Source organism: Homo sapiens, chromosome X, assembly GCF_000001405.40.
Source record: "Homo sapiens chromosome X, GRCh38.p14 Primary Assembly".
Lineage (NCBI taxonomy): Eukaryota > Metazoa > Chordata > Mammalia > Primates > Hominidae > Homo > Homo sapiens.
This window is the reverse complement of record NC_000023.11, coordinates 154,436,567-154,458,025: the sequence shown is the minus strand read 5'-3', so window position 1 is coordinate 154,458,025 and position 21,459 is coordinate 154,436,567. Positions and strand designations below refer to the sequence as shown.

Below are 21,459 nucleotides of genomic sequence, written 5' to 3'. Positions count from 1 at the left end.
CCGCCGCCTCGGGCGACCCCGGAACCCGCGCGCGCCCGCGCCACACCCCCTCGGGCCTGGGGCGCGCGTCCGCCTCGCCCCACCCTGGCGCTCGGAGACGCGCCCGGGGTCACCTGCCACCGGGGCGCGGCCTCGCTGGTCCCGGCCTCTCAGGTGCACCCCCGCCGAGGAGTCGCGTCCCCAGCTCAAGACACGCCCCCGACGGTCTCTAACCCGGAGGGCCTGCGGGACAGCCGTCCAAACCAGCCCCTTCCCCGGCGACCCTGAACCGAGGGCTTTCTTCCTTCCCTTGCTTTCTTTTTCCTTTTCTTTTTTTGTTTTCTTTTGACACAGGGTCTCGCTCTGTCACCCGGGCTGGAGTGCAGTGGTGAGATCATAGCTCACTGCAGCCTCGACCGCCCCAGGCTCAAACGATGCTCCCGCCTCAGCCTCCCAAAGTGCTGGGACTACAGGTGTGAGCCACCGCGCCCCGTTAAGGTTTTCTTTTTCATTTCCCTGATGACTAATGGTGTTCAGCATCTTTTCATGTGCTTGCTGGCCTTTTGTATATGATCTCTGAAGAAATGTCTATTCAAGTCATTTGCCCATTTTTATTAAACACATATATGGAGAGATAGATAGATAGACAGATTTTTCCCCCCAAGTTGAGGTCGCGCTCTATCACCCAGGCTGCAGTGTAGCGGCATTGGATCATGGCTCACTGCAGCCTCGACTTCCTGGGCTCAAGGGATCCTCCTGCCTCAGCCTCCCAGGTAGCTGGGACCACAGGCAAGTGCCACCACGCCTGGCTAACTTTTCCTATTCTTGTAGAGAGAGACAGGGTCTTGCTACACTGCCCAGGCTAGTCTTGAACTCCTGGGCTTAAGTAATCCTCCTGCCTCAGCCTTCCAAAGTACTGGCATATGCTGGGTGCAGTGACTCAAGCCTGTAATCCCAGCATTTTGGAAGGCTGAAGTGAGCGGATCACCTGAGGTCAGGAGTTCGAGACCAGCCTGGCCAACATGGCAAAACCCCATCTCTACAAAAAATACAAAAATTAGCCGGACATGGTGTCATATGCCTGTAGTCCCAGCTACTCAGGAGGCTGAAGCAGGAGAATTTTTTTTTTTTTTTTTTTTTTTTTTAGACAAAGTCTTGCTCTGTCGCCAAGGCTGGAGTGCAGTGGTGTGACCTCGGCTCACTGCAAGCTCCGCCTCCCGGGTTCACGCCATTCTCCTGTCTCAGCCTCCCAAGTAGCTGGGACTACAGGCACTCGCCACCACGCCCGGCTAATTTTTTTGTATTTTTGGTAGAGACGAGGTTTCACCGTGTTAGCCAGGATGGTCTCGATCTCCTGACCTTGTGATCCGCCCATCTCGGCCTCCCAAAGTGCTGGGATTACAGGCGTGAGCCACCGCGCCCGGCCGAGAATCTCTTGAACCTGGGAGGGGGAGGTTGCAGTGAGCCAAGATCGTGCCATTGCACTCCAGCCTGGGAGATAGAGCAAGACTCTGTCTAAAAAAAAAAAAGCACTGAGATTATAGGCATGAGCCACCATGCCTGGCCCTCAACTGACTTTAAGTAAAAGAGATCACCCTTGATAATGTGTGTGGGCCTCATCCATTTAGTTGGATGGCTTTAAGAGCAAAACCCGAGGTTTCCTGGAGAAGCAGAAATTCTGCCTCAAGACTGTAACACAGGCCAGGCGCGGTGGCTCATGTCTGTCATCCCAGCACTTTGGGAGGCCAAGGCAGGCGGATCGCCTGAGGTCAGGAGTTCGAGACCAGCCTGACCAACGTGATGAAACCCCGTCTCTACTAAAAATACAAAAATTAGTTGGGCATGGTGGCGGGCATCTGTAATCCCAGCTACTCGGGAAGCTGAGGCAGGAGAATCGCTTGAACCCAGGAGGCAGTGGTTGCAGTGAGCTGATATCATGCCACTGCACTCCAGCCTGGGCGACAAGAGTGAGACTCCATCTCAACAACAACAACAACAAGACTGTAACACAGAAATTCTCCGAGTTTCCAGCCCGTCAGTCTGTCCTACAAATTTCACACCAACTTGTCAGCCCCGACAATTGGGTGAACCAAATCCTTAAAATAAACTGTGTGTGTGTGTGTCCTGTTGGTTCTGTTTCTCTGGAGAACCATGACTAATACAGATGTCTTTCCATTTATTTAGGTCTTCTTGAATTTCTTTCAATGATGTTTTGTACTTTTCAGTGTACAAATCTCATGCTTCTTTTAAAAAAATCTATTAATAAGTATTTTATTCTTTTTTGACACTGTTATAAATGGAATTATTTTCTTAATTTCATTTTGGATTGTGTATAGAAATACAATTGATTGGCCAGGTGTGGTGGCTCATGCCTGCAATTCAAGCACTTTGGGAGGCAGAGGTGGGCGGATCACTTGAGATCAGGAATTCGAGACCAGCCTGGCCAAGATGACAAAACCCCGTCTCTACTAAAAATACGAAAATTGGCCAGGCATGGTGGCGGGCACCTGTAATCCCAGTTACTTGGGAGGCTGAGGAGGGGGGCAATCGCTTGAACCCAAGAGGCAGAGGTTGCAGTGAGCCAAGATCATGCCATTGCACTCCAGCCTAGGCAACAGAGAGCAAGACTCTATCTCAAAAAACTTTTAAAAATTGATTTTTGTATAATGATCTTTTTGGAGACAATGTCTCACTTTGTCACCCAGGCTGGAGTGCAGTGGTATGAACACCACTCACTGCAGCCTCGTCTTCCCAGGCTCAAGCAATCTTCCCACCTCAGCCTCCCAAGTAGCTAGGACTACAGGTGCATGCCACCACGCCAGGCTAATTTTTGAATTTTTTGTAGAGACAGGGTTTCACCGTGTTGCCCAGGCTGGTCTCCACCTCCTGGGCTCAAGTGATCCGCCCACCTAAGCCTCCCAAGTAGCTGGGACTACAGGCGTGTGCCACCACACCCAGCTAATCTTTGTATTTGCTATACACACAGAGTCTCACTATGTTGCCCAGCTGGTCTCGAACTCCTGGGCTCAAACAATCCACCTGCCTAGGCCTCCCAAAGTGCTGGGATTACAGGCGTGAGCCACTGTGCCTGGCCTTAGTCCCATCTTTGTCATCTCATCCATTGGCTTGACCAGACGAGCAGGTGTTACCCTTTGATTCCCTTGGCGATCTTTCTAGTTCCAGAGCATCAGCCATGTCTGTCTTGACAGCTCTGCAATTTCTCACTCCATCCTCTCAAGCTCTCCTGTGAACTCCAGGCTCCAGGTTCATAGATCCAAATCTCTGCTTGGATCTAACAGGCATCTCAACATACCATTTCCACAAGCAAAGCCTTCATTGTTCACCCCAGACTTGCTTCTCTTCCCATGCCCCGCATCTTAGTAAAGTTTATTCCTCTTGCTCAGGCCAAAGTGGAGTTCTTGACTCCTCTCTTTCTCTCAAACTCCATGTCCTATTCGTCAGCAAATCTTGTTGGCTTTCCCCCCAAAATCTATCCAGAAGCTGATATTCTGTCCCCACCCTGGTCCAAGCCACCAGCCTCTCATCAGGATAGCTGTGGTGGCCTCCTCACTGGCCTCCCATGCTTGCCCTCCCCCAGTCCCTTTGCCACACTGCTACAAGAGTGACTGGAAAACTTAAGTCAAGATTATGTCTTGCTCCTGGTAAAAGCCTCCAATCACTTCCTTTATAACACTGACTTCCAGAAGACCTTCTAACTATGACCTCAAACCCAGAAGGCATAGAAGACAAAAGAGTCCAGCTAGCTAAAAATAAACTTCTCGTGTCTAAAAAACACCATCAAATCAATGAAAAACGAGGAAAAGTATTTGCACTGTATAACACAAAGGGGTACTCTCTCTCATACATGGAAGGTACCTAGGATTCTACATATTATTTATTTATTTATTTGAGACAGAGTTTCGCTCTGTCACCCAGGCTGGAGTACAGTGGTACGATCTCGGCTCACCGCAACCTCCGCCTCCTGAGTTCACGCTATTCTCCTGCCTCAGCTTCCTGAGCAGCTGAGATTACAGGTGCCCACCACCACGCCCGGCTAATTTTTGTATTTTTAGTAGAGACGGGGCTTCACCATGTTGGCCAGGCTGGTCTCGAACTCCTGACCTCAGGTGATCTGCCCACCTCGGCCTCCCAAAGTGCTGGGATTACAGGCGGGAGCCACTGCACCTGACCGATTTCTAGATAAAAAAAGACCAACAAGAGGCCAAGGCAGGAGGATTGCTTGAGCCCAAGATTTCAAAACCAGCCTGGGCAACATAGTGAGATCCTGTCTCTATTAAAAAAAAAAAAAAAAAAAAAACAAAGAAGACCAACAATACAATTAATGGGCAAATGCCAGGAATAGACAGTTTGCAGGAGAAATAAAATGCACATAGTTTTTAAACATGTGAAAAGAGAAATACAAATTAAAAACCACACTAAGGTCAAACAAAAACTTGTACGTGAATGTTCATAGCAGCATTATTTACAATAATAGCCGAAAGGTAGGAACACCTGAAATGCCCATCCATGGATGAATAGATAAACAAGATGTGGTGTACACAGATAATGGACTACGACTCAGTTAGTTATAAAAAGTAAGCCATGAACCTCAAAAACATGATGCTAAGAAAAACAAGCCAGACACAAAAGGTCATGTATTGTATGATTCCATTGATGTGAAGCTTCCAGAACAGTCCAATCCATTGAAACGGTAGATTAGCAGCTGCCAGGGCCTGGGGAGTGGGGGAATGGGGAGAGACTGCTGAATAACCAACCACGGGGTCTCCTTTTGGGGATGAAAATGTTCCAGTAGAGAGAGGCAATGGTCACACAACAATGTGAATGTACCAAATGCCACCAAATTGTAAACTTTAAAATGGTTAATGGCTACTTTTCTGTTATGTGAATTTTTCCTCAGTTGAAAAAATTAAAAACACAAAGAAGAAACAAAACCCCATGCTGAGAAACCATGTCTCCATCTCAGCTTGGCACGCGTCTCCTGGCGGCGAGTGAGGGCACTGTGTGGGCAAGGCTGGGGGAGCCGGCCCTCATCCTGCCCATGAGGCTGCCAAGTGGGCAGGCCCTAAGGAGTGGAGTTGGCCAATATCTGCCATGCTGACTCTGCAGCTGAAGAGAGAATGAGGGTCTCTATGCACCCATGTGGAAAGATGCCGAGTATTGGGATATATCGCTAATGGACACTATATCACACGGTGTCGAACAGCATGCAAGCGCAATACCTTTCATGCGAGAAAGGTGAGGGCCAGGAGGAGCAGCCGTAGGAGCTTGTCTTTGTCTAGAGAAAGAGAACAGGTAAGCAGGCAGTGAAGAAAAGCACATCTCTGTTGGGGACATTGCAGGAACTGGCTTCCATGCTGACATGGGAACCGCCTGAATACATGGCTTCTGCTGGACAGTGAAGATGAGGGAAAAAGGTAGCTTCCCCTTGTTCCAGCCCAGCTCACCTTTTTTCTTTCTTTTTTTTTTTTTTTTTGAGACGGCGTTTCTCTCTTGTCATCCAGGCTGGAATGCGGTGCCGTGATTTCGGCTCACTGCAACATCCGCCTCCCGGGTTCAAGCGATTCTCCTGCTTCAGCCTCCTGAGTAGCTGAGATAACAGGCACCTGCCACCACGCCCAGCTAATTTTTGTATTTTTAGTAGAGACGGGGTTTCACCATGTTGGTCAGGCTGGTCTCGAACTCCCGACCTCAAGTGATCCACCCGCCTCAGCCTCCCAAAGTGCTGGGATTACAGGCATGAGCCACTGCACCCGGCCTCCAGCTCACTTTTGACCCAGACTTGGTGTTCCCTCTGCCTGGAACACTCCCTCCCGCATCGGAATGGCTGACTTCTTGTCATTTGGATGTCAGCTTAAATGTCTCCACGCCACAAAGGCCAGCTCATCTTGTTCTACATTTTGTTTTGTTTGTTTCCCTCTCTGTTTTCTACACACACAGCCCCCAGGAACGAGGCCCGGGTGAGCAAAGTGGGTGACCACCCCTGGCACACACTGATCCTTGGTGACCTTATCTGGTTCCAGAGCATCAAATAGCCTACTCAGCCAAACACAGTGGCTCACACCTGCAATCCCAGCAATTTGGGAGGCTGAGGTGGCAGGATCACTTGAGCCCAGCAGTTCGAGACCAGCCTGGGCAACAGAGCAATATCCCATCTCTACAAAAAAAATTTTTTTTTAATTCTGTTCCAATTTTCATGTACATAAAAATAAAAATAGCTGGGCATTGTGGTGCACACCTGTAGTCCCAGCTACTCAGGAGGCTGAGGCGGGAGGATCACTTGAGCCCAGGAGGTGGGGGCTGCAGCGAGCTGAGATTGCACCACTGCACTCCAGCCTGGGAGACAGAGCAAGACCCAGTCTCAAAAAAAAAAAAGAAAGAGGAAAGGAAGGAGAGGGGAGGGGAGGGGAGGGAAGAAAGAAGGAAGGAAGGAAGGAAGAAGGAAGGAAGGAGGGAAGGAAAAGAAAAGAAAGAAAACATTAGTCTACTCTCATCTCTATTCCTAGTGACGCCAGGTGGCTACTTCCCGGCCACGCTGAATGAGACACTGGGCCTCTGCACTATCGGGCACCATCAGATCTCCACATTTGCCAGGAAGGGGAGGCCAGACCCAGGGCTGGGGTGATCCTGGCCAGTGAGGGGCTATCCCCTGCCCTTTCTTCTTGGCTTCAGGCCAGGGGAGGAAACAGGGAGCTGTCAGCTGGCCTTCCTCAGCCTCCTGGAGCCAGGCCTGCCTGCCTCAGCTTAGCCAAGTGGAACTTGGGGAATCAGCTGCTGAGGTGGCAGAGTAGGGGTCCTGGACCTACCCCCGATCTGGATCCTGCCCCAAGGGCTGTCTGAGCAGGGCTAGCTAGGGCAGGGCAGGCAAGTGTCGAGCACAGGGCACCACAGCAGAACGACTGTGCTGGGACGGCCCACAGCAAGGAAGGCAGGATGGGTTTTCGTGGCCACAGGACGGCCACGTCCCCTACGGGAAACTCAACAGGAGCCCAAGGGCCTGGGAGAGAGGCCTGGGGAGGAACCCCCTTCCCACCCACCAGAGCCACCACCGCCCAAGGACAGGTGCCCACGGTCAAGAAGCACAGTGCCACAAAGACACCTCAGGGATGGTGGGGCTGCCACGGTGACAGACTCCCCAGGCACGTATGACACGTCCAGAACAGGTCAATCCATGGAGACAGAAAGCACATGAGAGCCTGGTGGGGGGATGTGAGGGGAGGAGCCTGCCTATGGCCACAGGGCCTTTGGAGGGATGAGAATGTCCTGGAAGCAGACCAGGGTGATGACTACACAACATGGCAAATGTGCTAAATGCCACCAAATTGTACAGTTTTAAATGGTCAAAATGACAAATGAATTTGGTCCGAACACAAATGGTTTCTCACAATGCAGGCGCTCCAGCTCTGACACGTGCACTTCTTTATTGGAAAAGAATAAAGCAGTCACTGATGTGGCAGGGGCAGGACACGAGCAGCTGCCGTCCTCCTCCCAGCGTGCCTGGCATGGTCGCAGGGGAGCGGGTGCCTGGAGTCCCGGTGACACCACGGGGCACACTGAGGGAGCTGAGGAGCCGGGGCCGCGCAGCCTCCTGGATGCTCAGCGGATCTAGTGTGAGGACAAGGTGGGCAGAGGAGACAAGGAAGGCGAGGGGTGAGCAGGGGCTGGCTGCCGTCCCCAACTTGGAGGGGTCCCTGCCAGCCCCTCCTCACCGTGTACTTGTCCCACTTCTTTTCAGGGTCGTAGGGTTCCCAGCGGCTGGCGGGAAAGATGTGCTTGTTCTTCTCGTACCAGCTCCTCAGCACCACCTTGCCTGCATGGGACTAAGGGAGGAAGAGGGCACAGGGCCGCCTGCTGACCTCCCCTTCCCTTGGCTTCTCCTCCATAGCCCAGGGACACCCGTTCCCCCTCACACGGCCCCCTACGCTGTACCTCATCCTTCTCCACAGTGGCGTCACTGAGCAACCGCACATCGTCATGAACATCAAAGTTGAAGAGTGGTCCTGCAGGGGAGAAGTGACAGCCCAATGTCCCGCTGCTGCCCCAGTGACAACATCGGCGGCAAGGTGCTATGGGGGCGGCTGGGTCGGCGGCACTCACCACTCTTCCCCCGTGCCTTGGTGACGATGAAGTCGTAGAAGCTGTGATGCTGGGAGCCAAGGGCAGGAAAGCGGCGTCTTGATGGTCCATCTCGGCCCCTCCCCACACCCCCCGCCTGCGCACACTGCCCCCACCAGCCTGAGCCAAAGCCCAGGGTGCTGCACCCACTGCGGGTACTGGGGCTGAAGGGACTCACGTGAGGGATGATCAAGTCCTCCTTGATGTACATGAGCTGCTCCACCCCTGCGGACCTGAGGGAGGAAGGCAGGAGGGCGTGGGCAAGAGGACAGCACCCCTGCCCAGGGAGGGAGGAGACAGCCAGCCCAGGAGAGCCCATGCTGGGGCTGGGAAGCAGCGGCCAGTTGGCTGTGAGGGAAGCTCCATGGTTTAGTGAGCACAGGACTGGCGCCCAGCACCCTCCACCTTTGGGCTAAGGAACCAAGGCAGGCCGCTCTCAGCAAAGCTCTCTGGTGGGAGGGAAGGGAAGAGGAGCCTGACCCCCTCTTTTGGGAGGAGAGTGCCCAGCACGCTGCTTGCTTGCCCAGACAGCGCCCACATCACACTGGGTGTCTGGCACCCAGGCTGGAGCCACAGGTGCCACACACACCACCGTGCACACACGCACACCTCACACCTCAGCTCACTGAAGTCTTTCCGAAGGATCTCGAGCGCCTTCTGCAGGAACTGCTGCATGGTGTTGCCCTTTCTCATCTGTATCCGGGAATCCAGGAGTTGGGAAGGGAAGGCGGAAGCCTGCAGAAGGGCTCTCAACAAGGCAGAGGCCCAGAGGGCCCTGCCAGACGCTGCAGAGCCTCAGCCAGGCCTGGGCCTCACTCCCCAGACAGGGGGCCAGGCCCTGGAGCCAGTTATCCTCAGGATCCCTGGGGCTTCCCAAGTCAGGAAGGTCAGTTCCTTCCCACGGAACCTGAGGGAGGCTGGGCCCATGGTGAGCAGGAAGCAGGCTGCACGCTGCCTACCTTGACTGTCCGCCGGTGCCCAGAGCCATCCCAGTAGCTGAAGGTGATCTCGATCTCCTCACCTACAAGGCAGAGCTGCCTCTTGGTCTCCAGCCCCACTGAGAGCAGCCTTGGGGCTCAGCGCACCACCCAGGAGACTGTGGACAGGGAAGCTGGCTTGGGCCCAGGCCCCTCGCGTCTGACTCCGCAAACACTCACTCTTGATCTTCTCCTGCTTGGCTTCCCACTCCTGCCGCAGCTCTTCCCGAAGCCGATTCTCCTCCTCCTGGGAGAGGGAGCAGGCAGACAGGTGAGGCCCAGGGCTGCTCAGGGTGCACGCAGAGCCTGGCTCCCTAAGCAAGGGTCTCCACCAGGGCTGGAGTCGAGGCCGGGGTCAGGGCCAGGCAGCCTTTACCTCACGGTCTCGATCAGGCAAGAAGCTTGTGTCAACGTCTGGGTTCTTCCCCAGTTTTCTCTTCTTCGTGGTGATCTCTGGAACAAAAGGAAGCCGAATATCATAGCATTATTATAAAAATGATTTTGATATGGCCGACGCCCAGGGTCCCCCAAGCATACCTTGAGAACAGTCGATCTAGAAGACAAGCCTAGGGCGGGCACAGAGGCTCACGCTTGTCAACCCAACACTTGGGGAGGATGAGGCAGAAGGATCACTTGAGCCCAGGAGGTGGAGACCAGCATGGGCAACATAGCAAGACCTCGTCTCTACTAAAACTCAAAAAAATCAGCCGGGTGTGGTGGCGCACCTGTAGTACCAGCTACTCAGAAGGCTGAGGTGGGAGGATCGCTTGAGCCTGCGAGGTCGGGGCTGCAGTGAGCCGTGATCAAACCACTGCACTCTAGCCTGGGCAACAGAGTGAGACCTCATCTCAAAAAAAAAAAAAAGAAAGAAAAAAAAGAAAAGAACAACAAAAAAAGACAAATCTAAACTCTTTAGCCTGATGCTCAAGGGCAGAGATTCTAGAGCCTGGGGTCTTGTGGCTGGGCCCCCTAAACGGAACCTGTGGAGGGAGGGAAGAGCCCACCAAGCAGTGTTTTGTAAAAGCCCCAGTGACACACAGTGAGGGTGACAACCTTTCCCCCAGGCCTGCACTGTCCACGCCAGTAGCTCCCAAGTTCGAGACCAGCTTGGGCAACATGGCGAGATTCCGTCTCTACAAAAAATACAAAAATACAAAGCGCCTGTAGTCCCAGCTACTCAAGTGGCTGAGGTGGGAGGGTCCCTTGAGTCCAGGAGGTCAAGGCTGAAGTAAGCTGTGATCGCCCCTCTGCACTCCAGCCTGGGCCACAGGGAGACACTGTCTCAAAAACAACAACAACCAAAACAAAAACACAAACACAAACCAGTAGCTCCCGCTGCACACAGCACCCCAGCATTGCAGCTAGTGCGCCTGCCGCAATGGTGATATTTTGGATACGCTGGGTTAAATACAATGTCATACTAAAATCCTGCTTGTTTCTTTTTCTATGTTTTACTGTGGCTGCTGGAACATGGAACCCAAATGGCAGGTGGCTGGCAGGTTCTTCCTCCCTACAATCCTGCACTCCCCTCAAAGCCATGGCACCCAGCCTGTTACCACAGCCACACAGCACCATCCCCTGCCTCGCTTCTCTCCCTCTGCCATTCCCTGGGTGACACAATTTCCAGAACTGCCACCACACCCTCCAGGGGCCCGTGACACAACTTGCTCCCAATCTTCAAACGTTTTGAAAAGCTCTTTCCTGCTGGGCTTCTGGCATGTACTTTCTCGTCGCCCCTCCTGCCTCTCTGGCGAATGCAACTCCCCTCATCCTTAGGGCCTAACTCAACCCTCCCCTCCTTCCTTGACCCCTGGGTTAGCCCGGTGGGCCCCAAGCAGAGCAGTAACCCTGAGTAGTGTCTTCAGTGCATGGTGACCCGTGACTTCCACCAGGAGAGGGACAGCACCCTATGTGCCCTGGCCAGGCACAGCACAGGTGTGTGGCACACGTGGAGGCCAGGCTGGCTTTACCCTCACTCCCCAGCCATCCTGAGCTTTCCCTGACAGCCCCTTGTTCTCACAGCTGAGACCTGCAGTGTCTGACTAGTAGCCTCGGAATTTCTGTGGCTGTATACATTTACGCTGAAACAAATCAAACAGAATTCACCATTTAGTGCCCCAGTCATACGAGGCACCTGGGGCAAGTGGCTACCATATTGGGTGGCACAGACTCTAACATTTCCATCATCACAGAAAATGTGCCCAGCCAGCCTGGTCTAGACCAGCCTCTTCCCTCCCCGGTCTACTGTGCGCGGTGCCTCAAGAGGGCAGCTTTTGGAGCCATCTTGACAGGGCATCAGCTTTGCTGACAGCCTCTCACATTGGGGACCCCTCCCCAGGGGCTGCGGGCGGGGCTCCGACTCAAGCCAGCCCTCACCTTCCCTTTCCATCTCCTCCTCATACATGGCCGCCTCCTCTTCCTCCTCGCCTCCCTCTTCTTCCTCCTCCAGGGTGAAGGACAGGCTGGAGATCTTCCGCTTGGCTTCCTTCTTACGCTCCTTCTCTCGAAGCTTCTCCAGCTTCCTAGTGAGGTGCAGGTGGCCCCATCACACATCATGTCCTTCCCGACCCTGACCCAGCCCCTTCCTTGACCCAGAGCCACCTGTGTGCCCTATGTGGGGCCTGCCCAGCCCAGGCTGGGTCCCCATTGCCCCAGACGGGTCCTGCTGTCCTGGATCACTTTGAGCTCATGGGCGAGGGCTCTGTTACAAACAGCAAGCACAGAGGGCCACAGGGGAGAGCCAAGCACAGGCTGGCAATGGGGAGAACGCAGGCTGCTCAGGCACCGGATGCTGGGAAAGGGCCCACTGCATTTAGAGGGTCAGAAAGAAGACAAGCCGCCATGGTGAAAAGACGTGAGCGTGGACCCGAGGAGGCGGGAGAGAGAAATGCAAATCGCAAGCTAGATGCTACCCCTGTCCCAAAGCTGGAGACAGGGTCCCCCCCAGGGTGCAAAAAGAGCCCGACCAGCCACGGGACCCCGTAAGCACTAGCTCCATGTTGAGGGCTGCGGCGAGAGGACCCACATCTGCAGCTCCTTGGACTGCTCCTTCTTGGCCAGCTGCTTCTCCCGCTCCTTCACCAGAGCCTCCTGCTTGGCCTTCATGTCATTCAGGGTCACGAGACCTTTGAAGCAAGGAGGCACAAGGGGCAAGGTAGTCGCAGGGCCAGCGGAAGAGTGGCCCGGGGCCCGGGTGAGGGGCACCCGCACCCTGCTCACCCACGGTGCTGGACTTGAGCTCTGCCTCCACCGCGTCGTAGTGCGCAGAGAACTTCTTGTCAATGTTGGATTTCATGATGTTCTCCTGCGGGGAGTGACAGCCACCATGAGAACCACCCCTCACTGTGGAAATGGCAGGCTGGCCATCAAGGACCTGCGTTATAGTCCAAATCTGCCCCTGTGCCCTTGTCGATGGAAGGTTCCATGAGGCTGGGCAGGGCTCTTCAAATGCTAAGAGTGCCAAATGGGGCTGTTTCCATCCCTGAGCTGCTCTGGCTCTTCAGGTCTCCTGCTGGGGATCACAGGTCCCTCAGTAGCCTGAAGCCACCGACCCTACTGACCTTTGGCCTTTTTCATCTCCAGCCTTTAAGCTGAAGCTTCCGAGACCCAAGCCAAGGGTTATGAGGAGAGGGCAAACAAGAACAGAGTGGTTGAGGGGCCTGGCCCCTCCCTGAGTGATTTTCCTCCCTCCAGGCCCCAGAATGTCATCAACAGCTTCCCAGGAGGCCTCTCTTTGGCCCCAGCCCCAACCCACTTGGTACCATGTCAAGCCCTCGCTGACCAGTGGTCTCCCAAGAAGGTGGCTGGCAGAGAAATACACCTTCTGCTTGCTGGGCACCCCGGCTCAGACAGTGCGGCCAGGGCATGAGGACTTGGTGTTTCAAGGCTCCTCTGGCCAGGCTTCCCCAGTTCCCCAGGCAGGAGCCTGCTCTCCCCTGGAGCCCCGAGTCCTGATGAGTGAGTCTCCCCAAAAGGATCAAGCTCCTCCACGCTCCTTCCCTGACCACCACCATCACAGGCCACTCACGGAAGCAGTGGGTGAACCGCTGGCACCCGGGAGGGTCGTGCCTGCCTCACAGGTGCAAGGGGTTCTGGAAGGAGCCTCCTGGCCAGTGGACTTGCCAGGTCTGGCTCAGGCCTCCCCGCCTCTCCAGGGGGAGACGAACCGCCCTGCCCGGTGTCCATAGGACCAGGGCAGAGGCCTGGCTCTGAGGGCCGAGGGGGCAGAGGCCTGGCTCTGAGGGCCGAGGGGCCAGAGCCAGGACGCTGGGTGCCCAGGCGAGGCGACGAGAGGCCCGTCCCCGCCGTGCCTCCCAACAGAAACACTGGCTCGGCTCCCTCCTGCCGGAGGCCGGTCATCAGCTAGTGGCCTCAGCCTCGGAGAACGCCCGGCTCCAGGCCCATTTCACAGATGAGACTGTCGCTGGCTTGCTTCTGTGTGCCCTGCTGGAAGTCAGCGAGCCAGGGGCCTGCCCCGGCGCGCCGCCCGCGCTCCGTGGCCACCGCCCCAGGGCTTCCAGGGCCGGAGCGTGGCGCGGGGCCGCCGGGGACCTGGGCAGCGCGCATGCTCCGAGGCTCCCCGGCTCGCACCTCCGCGATGCGCTGCTTCATCTGCTCCATCTGCTCGCGCTGCTTCTCCCGCTTCTTCATCAGGTGCATGGCGCGGCCGGCCTCGCTCGCGGCGCCCTTGTATTGAGCCATGGCAGCGGCGGCGGCGGCGGCGGCGGCGGCGGGCGGCGGCGGCGGCGACAGCGACAGCGGCAGCGGCAGCGGCGGTGGCGGCCGAACAGTCAGCTGACGCCCGCGCCGTGACGTCAGCCACCAGGAGACGCACGGATGCCCCGCCCCGCCGCGCGCCAGCTGGCCCGGAGCGTGACCACCGCCCGCCCCGCCCCGCCGGAGACCGCCCCTGGTCCTGCGTGGACTCCCGCCCCAGCCCCCGCCGCCGGCTCCTGTGGACCCCGGAGGCTGAATTCCCCAGCCCCTCGCGCTGCCTCGACGTTAACCCGAGCCAAGGCTGGGCCCCGGTCCCTCTAATTCCTCCTGGTGACCCCAACGCTGGTCCCCTGGCTGCCCTAGTTCCCCCGCATTAAGCCGAAAACTGGCACCCGTCTCCCTGCTTCACTTAGAATCCCATCCGAGGCTGGCCCCTGGTCCCCTCTGCCCTCTCCTTTCAAGCCAGAGGCCAGGACCCCCGCTCCCTCTGCTTCCTCCACGTTGACACCCGCCCTCCACCACACTCCCCCTGCATTGAGCACTGAGGGCTGCAGTCCTGGTGCCAGCATCGACTCACTGGGTAGCCTTAAGCTTTAAGTCAATTTGGCCCCAGCGTGCTCTGGGTGAGGAATTCCCTGGTGAAGAATGCCACCTTTTACAGTCCAGAGTGAAGCTAAGCCAGAGCCCCAACCCAGGCAGCCAAAGCCCTGCCAGGTACCCAGCTTTTGGGAGATAACCATCAAGATCCAGAGATTCAGGTTTCAACCGTTTTATTGGGAGGTTTTGTTTTCTGTGAAATACACTAGAGGGTGGGGAAGGGGACACATTCACTTTGCAAGATAAGGGTTTCCCACCACTAAAGGAAAGGCATGGGGCAGGGCACACTGGGGTTTGGGTCCGTTTTCCCACCTCCTTCTGCTTGGCTCACTTTTCTTTTCTCTCAGCAAGTACCACAGAACACAAAGACAAGAAACAAAACAGCAAATCAACCTCCAACGGGGCCATGCCCAAGCCTTCCCCACTCCCCCAGGCTGGGCAAGGGCTGGGAGGGGCTGGGGCAGCTCACTCGACAGCCCTCAGGCCACACGGGAAGGCTGCAGGCTCAGAAAGGGTGGGTCAAAGTTAATAAATTAGAATAAATTAGGGGGGAGGAATGCAACTTTGTGCTGGGAGGGCCCCTTCTCTCCAACACGCGAGAGTTGGTGGGGGGGAGGTGGGGGCATCTCCAAAGGCCACTACAGTGGGGGTAAGAGCGGTGGGGGCAGAAGTCACCTTTTCCTCCACGTCTTCCCAAACAGAGCAGAAGAATTAGGGGTGGGGGGAAGAGACACACACAAGGAGAGGAACCCTCTTTTCCTAGGATAAGGAAGGGCCAAGAAAGAGGATGCTATCCAACCCCCCATCTCCCAAGCCATCGCTAGGGTTAAGGATTTGGTCAGTGGATCAATGAGGTGGGTGATGGGAACGTGGTGGGGGAAGCAGAGGATGCTGGAGCCCTCGAGGAGAACAGACACAGGCTGGGGCAGCAGGGGCTGGGGGCGGCCACAATCACTGCTCAGCTTCTCCAAAGACGTCGTTCTGTTTGCGCTTCATGTTCTCAAAGTCAAAGGCCGTGCCAGCCATGCGTTTGTAGATGTCTTTGATGTCGTTGCAGGTTGTCTCAAAGTGTGTGGTGGCATCGTAGGAGCAGGAACAGAACACCTGGAAACAGCCAGAGCCCAGCGCCCAGGGTGAGTCAGACAGGTATCCTGGGCGGGCAGCCAGGAGCCCAGGGCTGGGACGAGCTGCTTACCTGGCTCTCACAACCATCATCAATGGGCTCATACAAGTCACTGATAGCCACAAACCTGAGGGGCAGACAGAGGGGAGGGGACAGGCCTCACAATGGGCCATGCCCTTCCTGGTCCCTAAGCCCAGCTGCTGGGCTCCCTCCCTCTCCCCCTTGGGCTCAGCCCAGTCCCTCACTTCTGGTCAATGGGCTCCAACAGCTCCAGAGCCGGCTCCACCTCCTTTTCAGGGTCCGTGGTCTCCACAGTAGTGCTGGCAATAGCTATGTACTTGCCCTGGGCCGCCACGTTGTGTGCATAGGAGATCATGCACACGTAGATGTCTGGCCACAGGAAGAGCTCCGTCAACTCAGGCCAGAGGCGCTGGCCATACGCAGAGAGGGGTTCCAGTGGCTGGACACAAGTCTGGCCCGACTGCCCCTCCCCAGCCCCGCAGAGCAGGTAGCATCCAAGCCGCCACCCTCCCAGAGGGAAAGAGTCCAGGCCACCCAAACCCTAGGGCTCCAAGTTGTGGTGGCTACAATGTGGCTCAAATTTTTTTCCAGAGAGGTAAGGCAGGGAGCTCCCACACTGATGGGGAGAAAAAGAGTAACCCCAAAGAGAACACCCTAGAGGAAGCTGTACCAGCGCCCGGCCTACCTGACTTCCTGTTGACCTGGTTCTGGGGGATGATTATTTGGCAGGAGTTGGCGTCGTTGGTGTTCTTGATGGGGTGGCTAAGGATACAGATGATGCGGATAACCTGGCCAGCCTTCCGCACACGGTCCGGGATGTAGCTGGGGTCACAGATCAGCTGCTTGCAGCGGGCCACCTGAGAAGGCACCAGAAGTCCTCGCCCCTGTCACATCCCTCCCTTAGGTAGACGTGGGGCTGCGCTCACAGCAAGGGCAGGCAGCTCTGGCAGACAAGACGTTCCTCGGAGCCATCACTACTGCCCCTCCTGAATGCATGGCCCTACCCTGCCGCTCAGATAGGTGGGCCTTGACGCACGGGCTGGGTGCCCGCCCCCCCGCCCCCCAGAGGCACTGTGATCAAGAACACTTTCTGCACCACAGACATGGCATGTGGCCTCTGAAAGAGACCTCTCACCCACAGTCATGACTCTGAAGACTTCTGGACCCCCAGTTCCCAGCTCCAAGACCCTTGGGGCTGTGCAGCAGGAGACTCGACAGCACAGAGAAAGTGACCAAGCCCCGCCTCAACCATGGGACTGCACTGCATGCACGGGAAGGGCTCACCTCTCCCTCAGACTTCACGCCCACCACCTTGCCGTTCTCCATGATGATGTCATCCACAGGTTTGTTCAGCATATATGTCCCCCCATAGATGGCACTCAATCTGTGGTGAGAGCAGCTCCGGTGAAGGCCCCTCCCAGGAGAAACGGGGACCAATTCCACTGCACCCTTCCTCCACCAAAGTGCAAAGAAGGCTGCCCCAGGCAGGCAGCAGGTAGGAGACGCCGGGATTCATCCCAGCTCTGTCACTGCCGTGAACGCTGGCCCCATCTCCGCGGGCTCTTTCCTCTCTGGAGCTTCTGCTCAGAATACACTGCCAAGGGCCAGCGGGAGGGGGCATGAGGGATCAGTGCTCCGCACCAAGACAGCCTGAGGGACCAGAATGGACTCTCTGGAGATAGGTCAGCTCCCAGCTAAGCCCTGACTCAAGGTTCTGGGACCCTGGGCCCAGTCCTGGTGCTGCCGGGAACTGAGCAAGTCACATTTGTGGAGACTCGTTTTTTCAAGTGTGGAGACTTCTGTACTTCAGTGCACTGGGGTTGTGCCCTCATCACCCAAGGATGGAGTGAAGTAAATGAAGAGCACGAATTGGAAAGGAGGAAATACTACCAAGAAAATGCTCAAGGCGGCCATCTCCACTCCTGGCCCTAGTCCTACTCAGCTATGCCAACTGAAAAAACCCATGTCCTCACCTTGCAAAACCCTGGGGCAGCTCGCCCAAGCCGTAGAGCGGGTATAAATATGGGCTCTTGCCATACCGGGCCAGGGACTCACTGTACAACTTGATGCGGTTGACGGTCTCAAGGCAGGGCTGGTCCAGGTAGCTGGGGGAATAGCAGCACCCCTGATTTACCCCCACCCAGGTACCAGGCCAGTCTTCCCACCACCCTGAATGGCCTGGGGAAGATGAGGATCAAATGCAAGGGGGAAATGGAAAGGGTGATAGGTGAGCCTGTGGCTGAGTACAAGAGACATGCGGGGCAGGGGGACAGCAGGCAGGTGTGGGAAGGGTGGGGGCGGGCCGGGCGAGGGGGCTGCCACCACCCAGCTTCCCCTCACTCATCAGTGCGGTAGAGCGCCAGGGCATGGCCAGTGAAATCGATGACATCCTGGCCCAGATCAAACTTCCGGTAGACGTCACGCATGCTGGTAGTCTGGGGGTCAACGCCCTCAAAGGTCTTGGGGTCATTCTCATCGAAGTTTGCCACAAACACCAGGAACTTGCGGAAGCGCCGTTTCTCAAACATGCCCATCAGATCTAAGGAACGCGGCGGGAGGAGGTTCTGCATCAATGCAGCACAAAACTCTCCATCCCAGCAGGGCAGGCACCCCCACTCACAGCCCAGCTGTCCTGTGATCTTAGGTTAACCTCTCCACCCTTTTTAGCCTCAGTTTCCCCACCTGGATGAAGAGGGGATTGGCCTGGATGGGCTCTAAGGGCCTTCCTGGCTCAGACACTTGGCGATGTCTCGGGGATTCAGTGGAGGCCCTGCCAAAGGCTCAAGTTTTTGTTTTTTTTTTTGAGATGGAGTCTCCCTCTATCGCCCAGGCTGGAGTGCAGTGGTGTGATCTCGGCTCACCACAACCTCCGCCTCCCGGGCGCAAACCATTCTCTTGCCTCAGCCTCCCGAGTAGCTGGGATTACAGGTGCATGCCACCACACCCAGCTAATTTTTCGTATTTTGAGATGAGACGGTGTTTCACCATGTTGGCCAGGCTGGTCTTGAACTCCTGACCTCGTGATCCACCCGCCTAGGCCTCCCAAAGTGCTGGGATTACAGGCGTGAGCCACCGCACCTGGCCAGGCTCAAGTCTTTCAAAAGGAGCCCCGTTCCCCTCCACATCACATCCCTGCTGTGTGAGGACCTCCCTCCTGGCAGCCAGCCGTGCAGCATGACATGGGGCAGAGGGAATACAGAGTGAAGGGCCTCTCTGGTCCTTCACGGGAAATGTGACTTTGGACAAGGGGGTGCCTTATTCTGGACAGCCACCCATCCCAAAGACAGTTGGCTTCCCTGCCACCCCATGATTTCTCTGGCTCAGGGGGCCCACACTCACTGGAAGCCAAGGCCTCAGTCTCAGTGGACGGCACTTTGTAGATCTTGCCCCCCTTGTAGACAAAGCTGCCCTCCACCACCTTGAAGTCCAGGTAGCGAGTCACCTCTGTATACAGTAGCATCTTTACCAGCTGCCCTGTGGGGGTGCACAAGGGCAACATCAGCACGGCTCTCTCCAGAGGCTCTAGCTGGTCTGGCCGTGCCTCCTCTGGAGCCTGACCGTCCTCGGGTCTTCCCTATCACCCCCGACCTGCAATACCTCCTTCCTGTCCCTCACCGTTAGCCATGAGGAATTTGGGAATCAGGTCAACATTCCAGTCTCGGCCTCGGCCCATCGACTCAGGGGGCCCCTCCAGCAACTGAAAACGCTTATACAGCTGTAAGCAGAAGGGAGAGAGAGAGACACCTCAGGGACCACCTCCTCCTGCTCCAGGCACCTGGGGAGCTACTTCCACCCTGTGCCGCTATGTGGGAGGTTAACAGGGATAGGCTTGGGCCTGGGCAGCCTCACCTCCTCCAGGGGTGTGATGGAGGAGCTCTCGCCCCCGTAGTAGGGGTTCCGGTCCATGTGCAGCACCTTCTTCCCGTTCACAGACATGATGCCCGACAGGATGCATTCCTGGGGGAGGGTGACACCATCCGCTGCACTCCCACCTGCCTCCGCTCCTACCAGCAGACCTGATTTGTTCCCCACCCAAACCTGCCTCAGTGGACAGCTCCTTCCACCCACCATCCCCACTGGCTAGTTGCCTCGCCTAAAATTGGGGTGATGGCTTCATCCGACCACACTCTCCATTGCAACCTTGCTGGGCAAAGGAGTCCCGTCCCCCTCACAAGGCGGAGAGTGAAATAACGGAGGCTTTGAGGGAGGCAGGGCATCCAGCAGACACAGGATGGCCTTCCAGTACCAACACGCCGAGAGGCATCTACCTACGCAGAGCCGCACAAAAAGGCGGATAAAACACAATAAGGCACAGAGAAGACCCAGCTGGACTGCAAAGGACACTCGAAAGGGAGGAAAAGAAAGGCTTAGCACAGTCCTTGAAATTGTAGGCCCCACCCTGGACTGCTCTTTCTTCAAATAGCAGGAGCCCCTGCCGCTGAGGAGGGGCATCTGGGCCTGGACCGAGGAAGAAGAGTCTCTGAGGGGAGTAGGCCAACGGGGTTTTCGGGGAAAGGGGGAAGATAAACACCCTCACCAGTCACTGTCACTAGCCCAAGGACAAAGGCTGCAGATGCTACCCAGCCTGAGGTCTCCATGGGCAACCGAGGTGGGGTTGCGGGAATGTGCTTACTGCCCCCACTGCTGTTCCTTCTGGAACATTCCCTGGATCCCCTGGCCCCAGAAGACGATGAGGAGGCGGGCTGAGGGCCCACTCTGGCGAGGCCCCCTGACCCCAGGTCCTTCTACTTCATCCCCACCGGGATTAGCGCAAGATGGGAACGGACGCTGAGAGGCAACGCTAGGCGGGCAATGGGTGCGGGCGACGGGTGGATGCCGTGATGGGTGGGGGCGATGGGTGGGCGGGGTCGTGGGCATCGGGCCGAGTGGGGGTGCGTTTTCCGGTCCAGCGGGCAGGGGTAGGGAAGATGGGAGGGCGCCGGGGGTCGGACCCGGGTAGCCCAGGAGGCGGCCAGGAAGGGGGCCTCTTCGGGGAGATGGGGTCATGGCAACGAGCAGAGGCGACGTCGCTGGGGGAGCAGCGGGGTGGGCACGGCGCCGGCTTTTCGGGGAGCGGAGCGCAGAAGATGGCAGTGACCAGAGGATGGGCCGGCGGCCGCATCATCGCGGGGGATGGCGAGGGCACGACGCAGGGCCAGGGGCGCCGGGGCCGCACTTACGGTGAGACCGGTCCCCAGCACGATCACATCGTATTCCTCGTCCATGGTCAGGCCTCGGTGCCAGCGCCCGCTCGGCTCCTCCTCCTCCTTCACCGCAGCAGTCGCCGCCGCCACCGCCGCCGCCGCCACCGCACTGGACCAAAGATGGCGGCGCGTCGGCCGTCGCCCGACCCCTCCGCCGCGTCAAAGAGTCCCGCCTCTTCCCGCGCCCCGCCGCAACCGGCAGGGGCCACCGCCTCCCCGGCTCGCCTCCCGGGAGGGCTGCCAGGGCCCGGGCCACAGCACCAGCGCGGCTCCGCGGGCGACGCTGCTCGCCGAGAGTCTAGAGAGGCGCGGGGCGGGGCGGGCGGGGCGGGCCGGCGGCCGGTGCTGCGGCCCAGGAAGAATCCGTGCGCGGGAGCCGCGCGCGCCCCGCCCCACCCGCCGCGCCCCGCCCCGCCCCGCCCCGCGCGCGCCCGCCCACCTCCCCACCCCCGCCCACCCCCCCGGGAGTCTCGGCGCGGCCCCGCGGCCGGGCGCGCGCCGCTGCGGCAGCCTGGGGCGGCCCCCTCACGACGCGAAGGCTGCCATTGTCACGACGGCCTCCTGAGACGCCGAAGCGCACCGGGACTCGGCCCGACCGCCCCTCCCTACCCTGAGCGGTTAGGGCCCAGCTTGCTAAAGCCCCTCCCGGTCTCCGCGGATGCCTCTTCGCCTCCCCCTCGCCAGGCTCCATCCTCCCGCATCCCTCCGG

The 21,459-nt window shown here is 57.4% G+C and overlaps 2 protein-coding genes and 1 non-coding gene across 3 annotated transcripts, besides 9 other annotated features; all 3 read right to left on the bottom strand.

Moving 5' to 3' along the window:
* Positions 8 to 177: a silencer, noted in NCBI's record as "silent region_21106". NCBI's record gives its function as "represses an Ori minimal core promoter by ATAC-STARR-seq in GM12878 lymphoblastoid cells {active_cell/tissue: GM12878}" and the evidence as "EXISTENCE:reporter gene assay evidence [ECO:0000049][PMID:35858748]".
* Positions 268 to 337: an enhancer, noted in NCBI's record as "active region_30062". NCBI's record gives its function as "activates an Ori minimal core promoter by ATAC-STARR-seq in GM12878 lymphoblastoid cells {active_cell/tissue: GM12878}" and the evidence as "EXISTENCE:reporter gene assay evidence [ECO:0000049][PMID:35858748]".
* FAM50A (family with sequence similarity 50 member A) lies at positions 7,372 to 13,885 on the bottom strand. Its single transcript, NM_004699.4, has 13 exons — positions 13,680 to 13,885; positions 12,309 to 12,393; positions 12,115 to 12,214; positions 11,466 to 11,611; positions 9,466 to 9,542; positions 9,270 to 9,336; positions 9,072 to 9,133; positions 8,729 to 8,805; positions 8,291 to 8,345; positions 8,095 to 8,143; positions 7,927 to 7,997; positions 7,707 to 7,817; positions 7,372 to 7,602 (listed from the first exon to the last, which is right to left on the bottom strand). The coding sequence occupies exons 1-13, from the start codon at positions 13,788 to 13,790 to the stop codon at positions 7,594 to 7,596; spliced, it is 1,020 nt and encodes a 339-aa protein (NP_004690.1). The 5' UTR covers positions 13,791 to 13,885; the 3' UTR covers positions 7,372 to 7,593.
* MIR6858 (microRNA 6858) lies at positions 7,640 to 7,706 on the bottom strand. Its single transcript, NR_106917.1, has one exon. It is a non-coding gene; the product is annotated as a microRNA 6858 (primary transcript).
* Positions 12,556 to 13,123: an enhancer, noted in NCBI's record as "H3K27ac-H3K4me1 hESC enhancer chrX:153673251-153673818 (GRCh37/hg19 assembly coordinates)". NCBI's record gives its function as "activates a minimal SCP1, AML or CMV promoter by ChIP-STARR-seq in naive H9 embryonic stem cells {active_cell/tissue: H9 hESC(naive)}" and the evidence as "EXISTENCE:reporter gene assay evidence [ECO:0000049][PMID:30033119]".
* Positions 13,388 to 13,477: a silencer, noted in NCBI's record as "silent region_21105". NCBI's record gives its function as "represses an Ori minimal core promoter by ATAC-STARR-seq in GM12878 lymphoblastoid cells {active_cell/tissue: GM12878}" and the evidence as "EXISTENCE:reporter gene assay evidence [ECO:0000049][PMID:35858748]".
* Positions 13,488 to 13,697: a silencer, noted in NCBI's record as "silent region_21104". NCBI's record gives its function as "represses an Ori minimal core promoter by ATAC-STARR-seq in GM12878 lymphoblastoid cells {active_cell/tissue: GM12878}" and the evidence as "EXISTENCE:reporter gene assay evidence [ECO:0000049][PMID:35858748]".
* Positions 13,691 to 14,258: an enhancer, noted in NCBI's record as "H3K27ac-H3K4me1 hESC enhancer chrX:153672115-153672682 (GRCh37/hg19 assembly coordinates)". NCBI's record gives its function as "activates a minimal SCP1, AML or CMV promoter by ChIP-STARR-seq in naive H9 embryonic stem cells {active_cell/tissue: H9 hESC(naive)}" and the evidence as "EXISTENCE:reporter gene assay evidence [ECO:0000049][PMID:30033119]".
* Positions 13,708 to 14,057: a silencer, noted in NCBI's record as "silent region_21103". NCBI's record gives its function as "represses an Ori minimal core promoter by ATAC-STARR-seq in GM12878 lymphoblastoid cells {active_cell/tissue: GM12878}" and the evidence as "EXISTENCE:reporter gene assay evidence [ECO:0000049][PMID:35858748]".
* GDI1 (GDP dissociation inhibitor 1) lies at positions 14,559 to 20,872 on the bottom strand. Its single transcript, NM_001493.3, has 11 exons — positions 20,727 to 20,872; positions 19,396 to 19,503; positions 19,162 to 19,261; positions 18,886 to 19,020; positions 17,887 to 18,085; positions 17,520 to 17,651; positions 16,831 to 16,930; positions 16,232 to 16,403; positions 15,771 to 15,915; positions 15,598 to 15,652; positions 14,559 to 15,506 (listed from the first exon to the last, which is right to left on the bottom strand). The coding sequence occupies exons 1-11, from the start codon at positions 20,769 to 20,771 to the stop codon at positions 15,354 to 15,356; spliced, it is 1,344 nt and encodes a 447-aa protein (NP_001484.1). The 5' UTR covers positions 20,772 to 20,872; the 3' UTR covers positions 14,559 to 15,353.
* Positions 18,986 to 19,485: an enhancer, noted in NCBI's record as "H3K4me1 hESC enhancer chrX:153666887-153667386 (GRCh37/hg19 assembly coordinates)". NCBI's record gives its function as "activates a minimal SCP1, AML or CMV promoter by ChIP-STARR-seq in naive H9 embryonic stem cells {active_cell/tissue: H9 hESC(naive)}" and the evidence as "EXISTENCE:reporter gene assay evidence [ECO:0000049][PMID:30033119]".
* Positions 20,840 to 21,340: an enhancer, noted in NCBI's record as "H3K27ac hESC enhancer chrX:153665032-153665532 (GRCh37/hg19 assembly coordinates)". NCBI's record gives its function as "activates a minimal SCP1, AML or CMV promoter by ChIP-STARR-seq in naive H9 embryonic stem cells {active_cell/tissue: H9 hESC(naive)}" and the evidence as "EXISTENCE:reporter gene assay evidence [ECO:0000049][PMID:30033119]".

What these genes read in the sequence shown, in the direction of transcription:
- GDI1 (NM_001493.3), bottom strand. Translation starts at nt 20,771, where the DNA reads ATGGACGAGGAATACGATGTGATCGTGCTGGGGACCGGTCTCACC. An exon ending in TGCTGGGGACCGGTCTCACC is followed by an intron (nt 19,504 to 20,726) that starts GTAAGTGCGGCC and finishes ACCCTCCCCCAG; the next exon opens with GAATGCATCCTGTCGGGCAT. An exon ending in GCGCTCTACCGCACTGATGA is followed by an intron (nt 17,652 to 17,886) that starts GTGAGGGGAAGC and finishes CTATTCCCCCAG; the next exon opens with CTACCTGGACCAGCCCTGCC.
- FAM50A (NM_004699.4), bottom strand. Translation starts at nt 13,790, where the DNA reads ATGGCTCAATACAAGGGCGCCGCGAGCGAGGCCGGCCGCGCCATGCAC. An exon ending in TGAAGCAGCGCATCGCGGAG is followed by an intron (nt 12,394 to 13,679) that starts GTGCGAGCCGGG and finishes CACTCCCCGCAG; the next exon opens with GAGAACATCATGAAATCCAA. An exon ending in GGCACCGGCGGACAGTCAAG is followed by an intron (nt 8,806 to 9,071) that starts GTAGGCAGCGTG and finishes TCCCGGATACAG; the next exon opens with ATGAGAAAGGGCAACACCAT.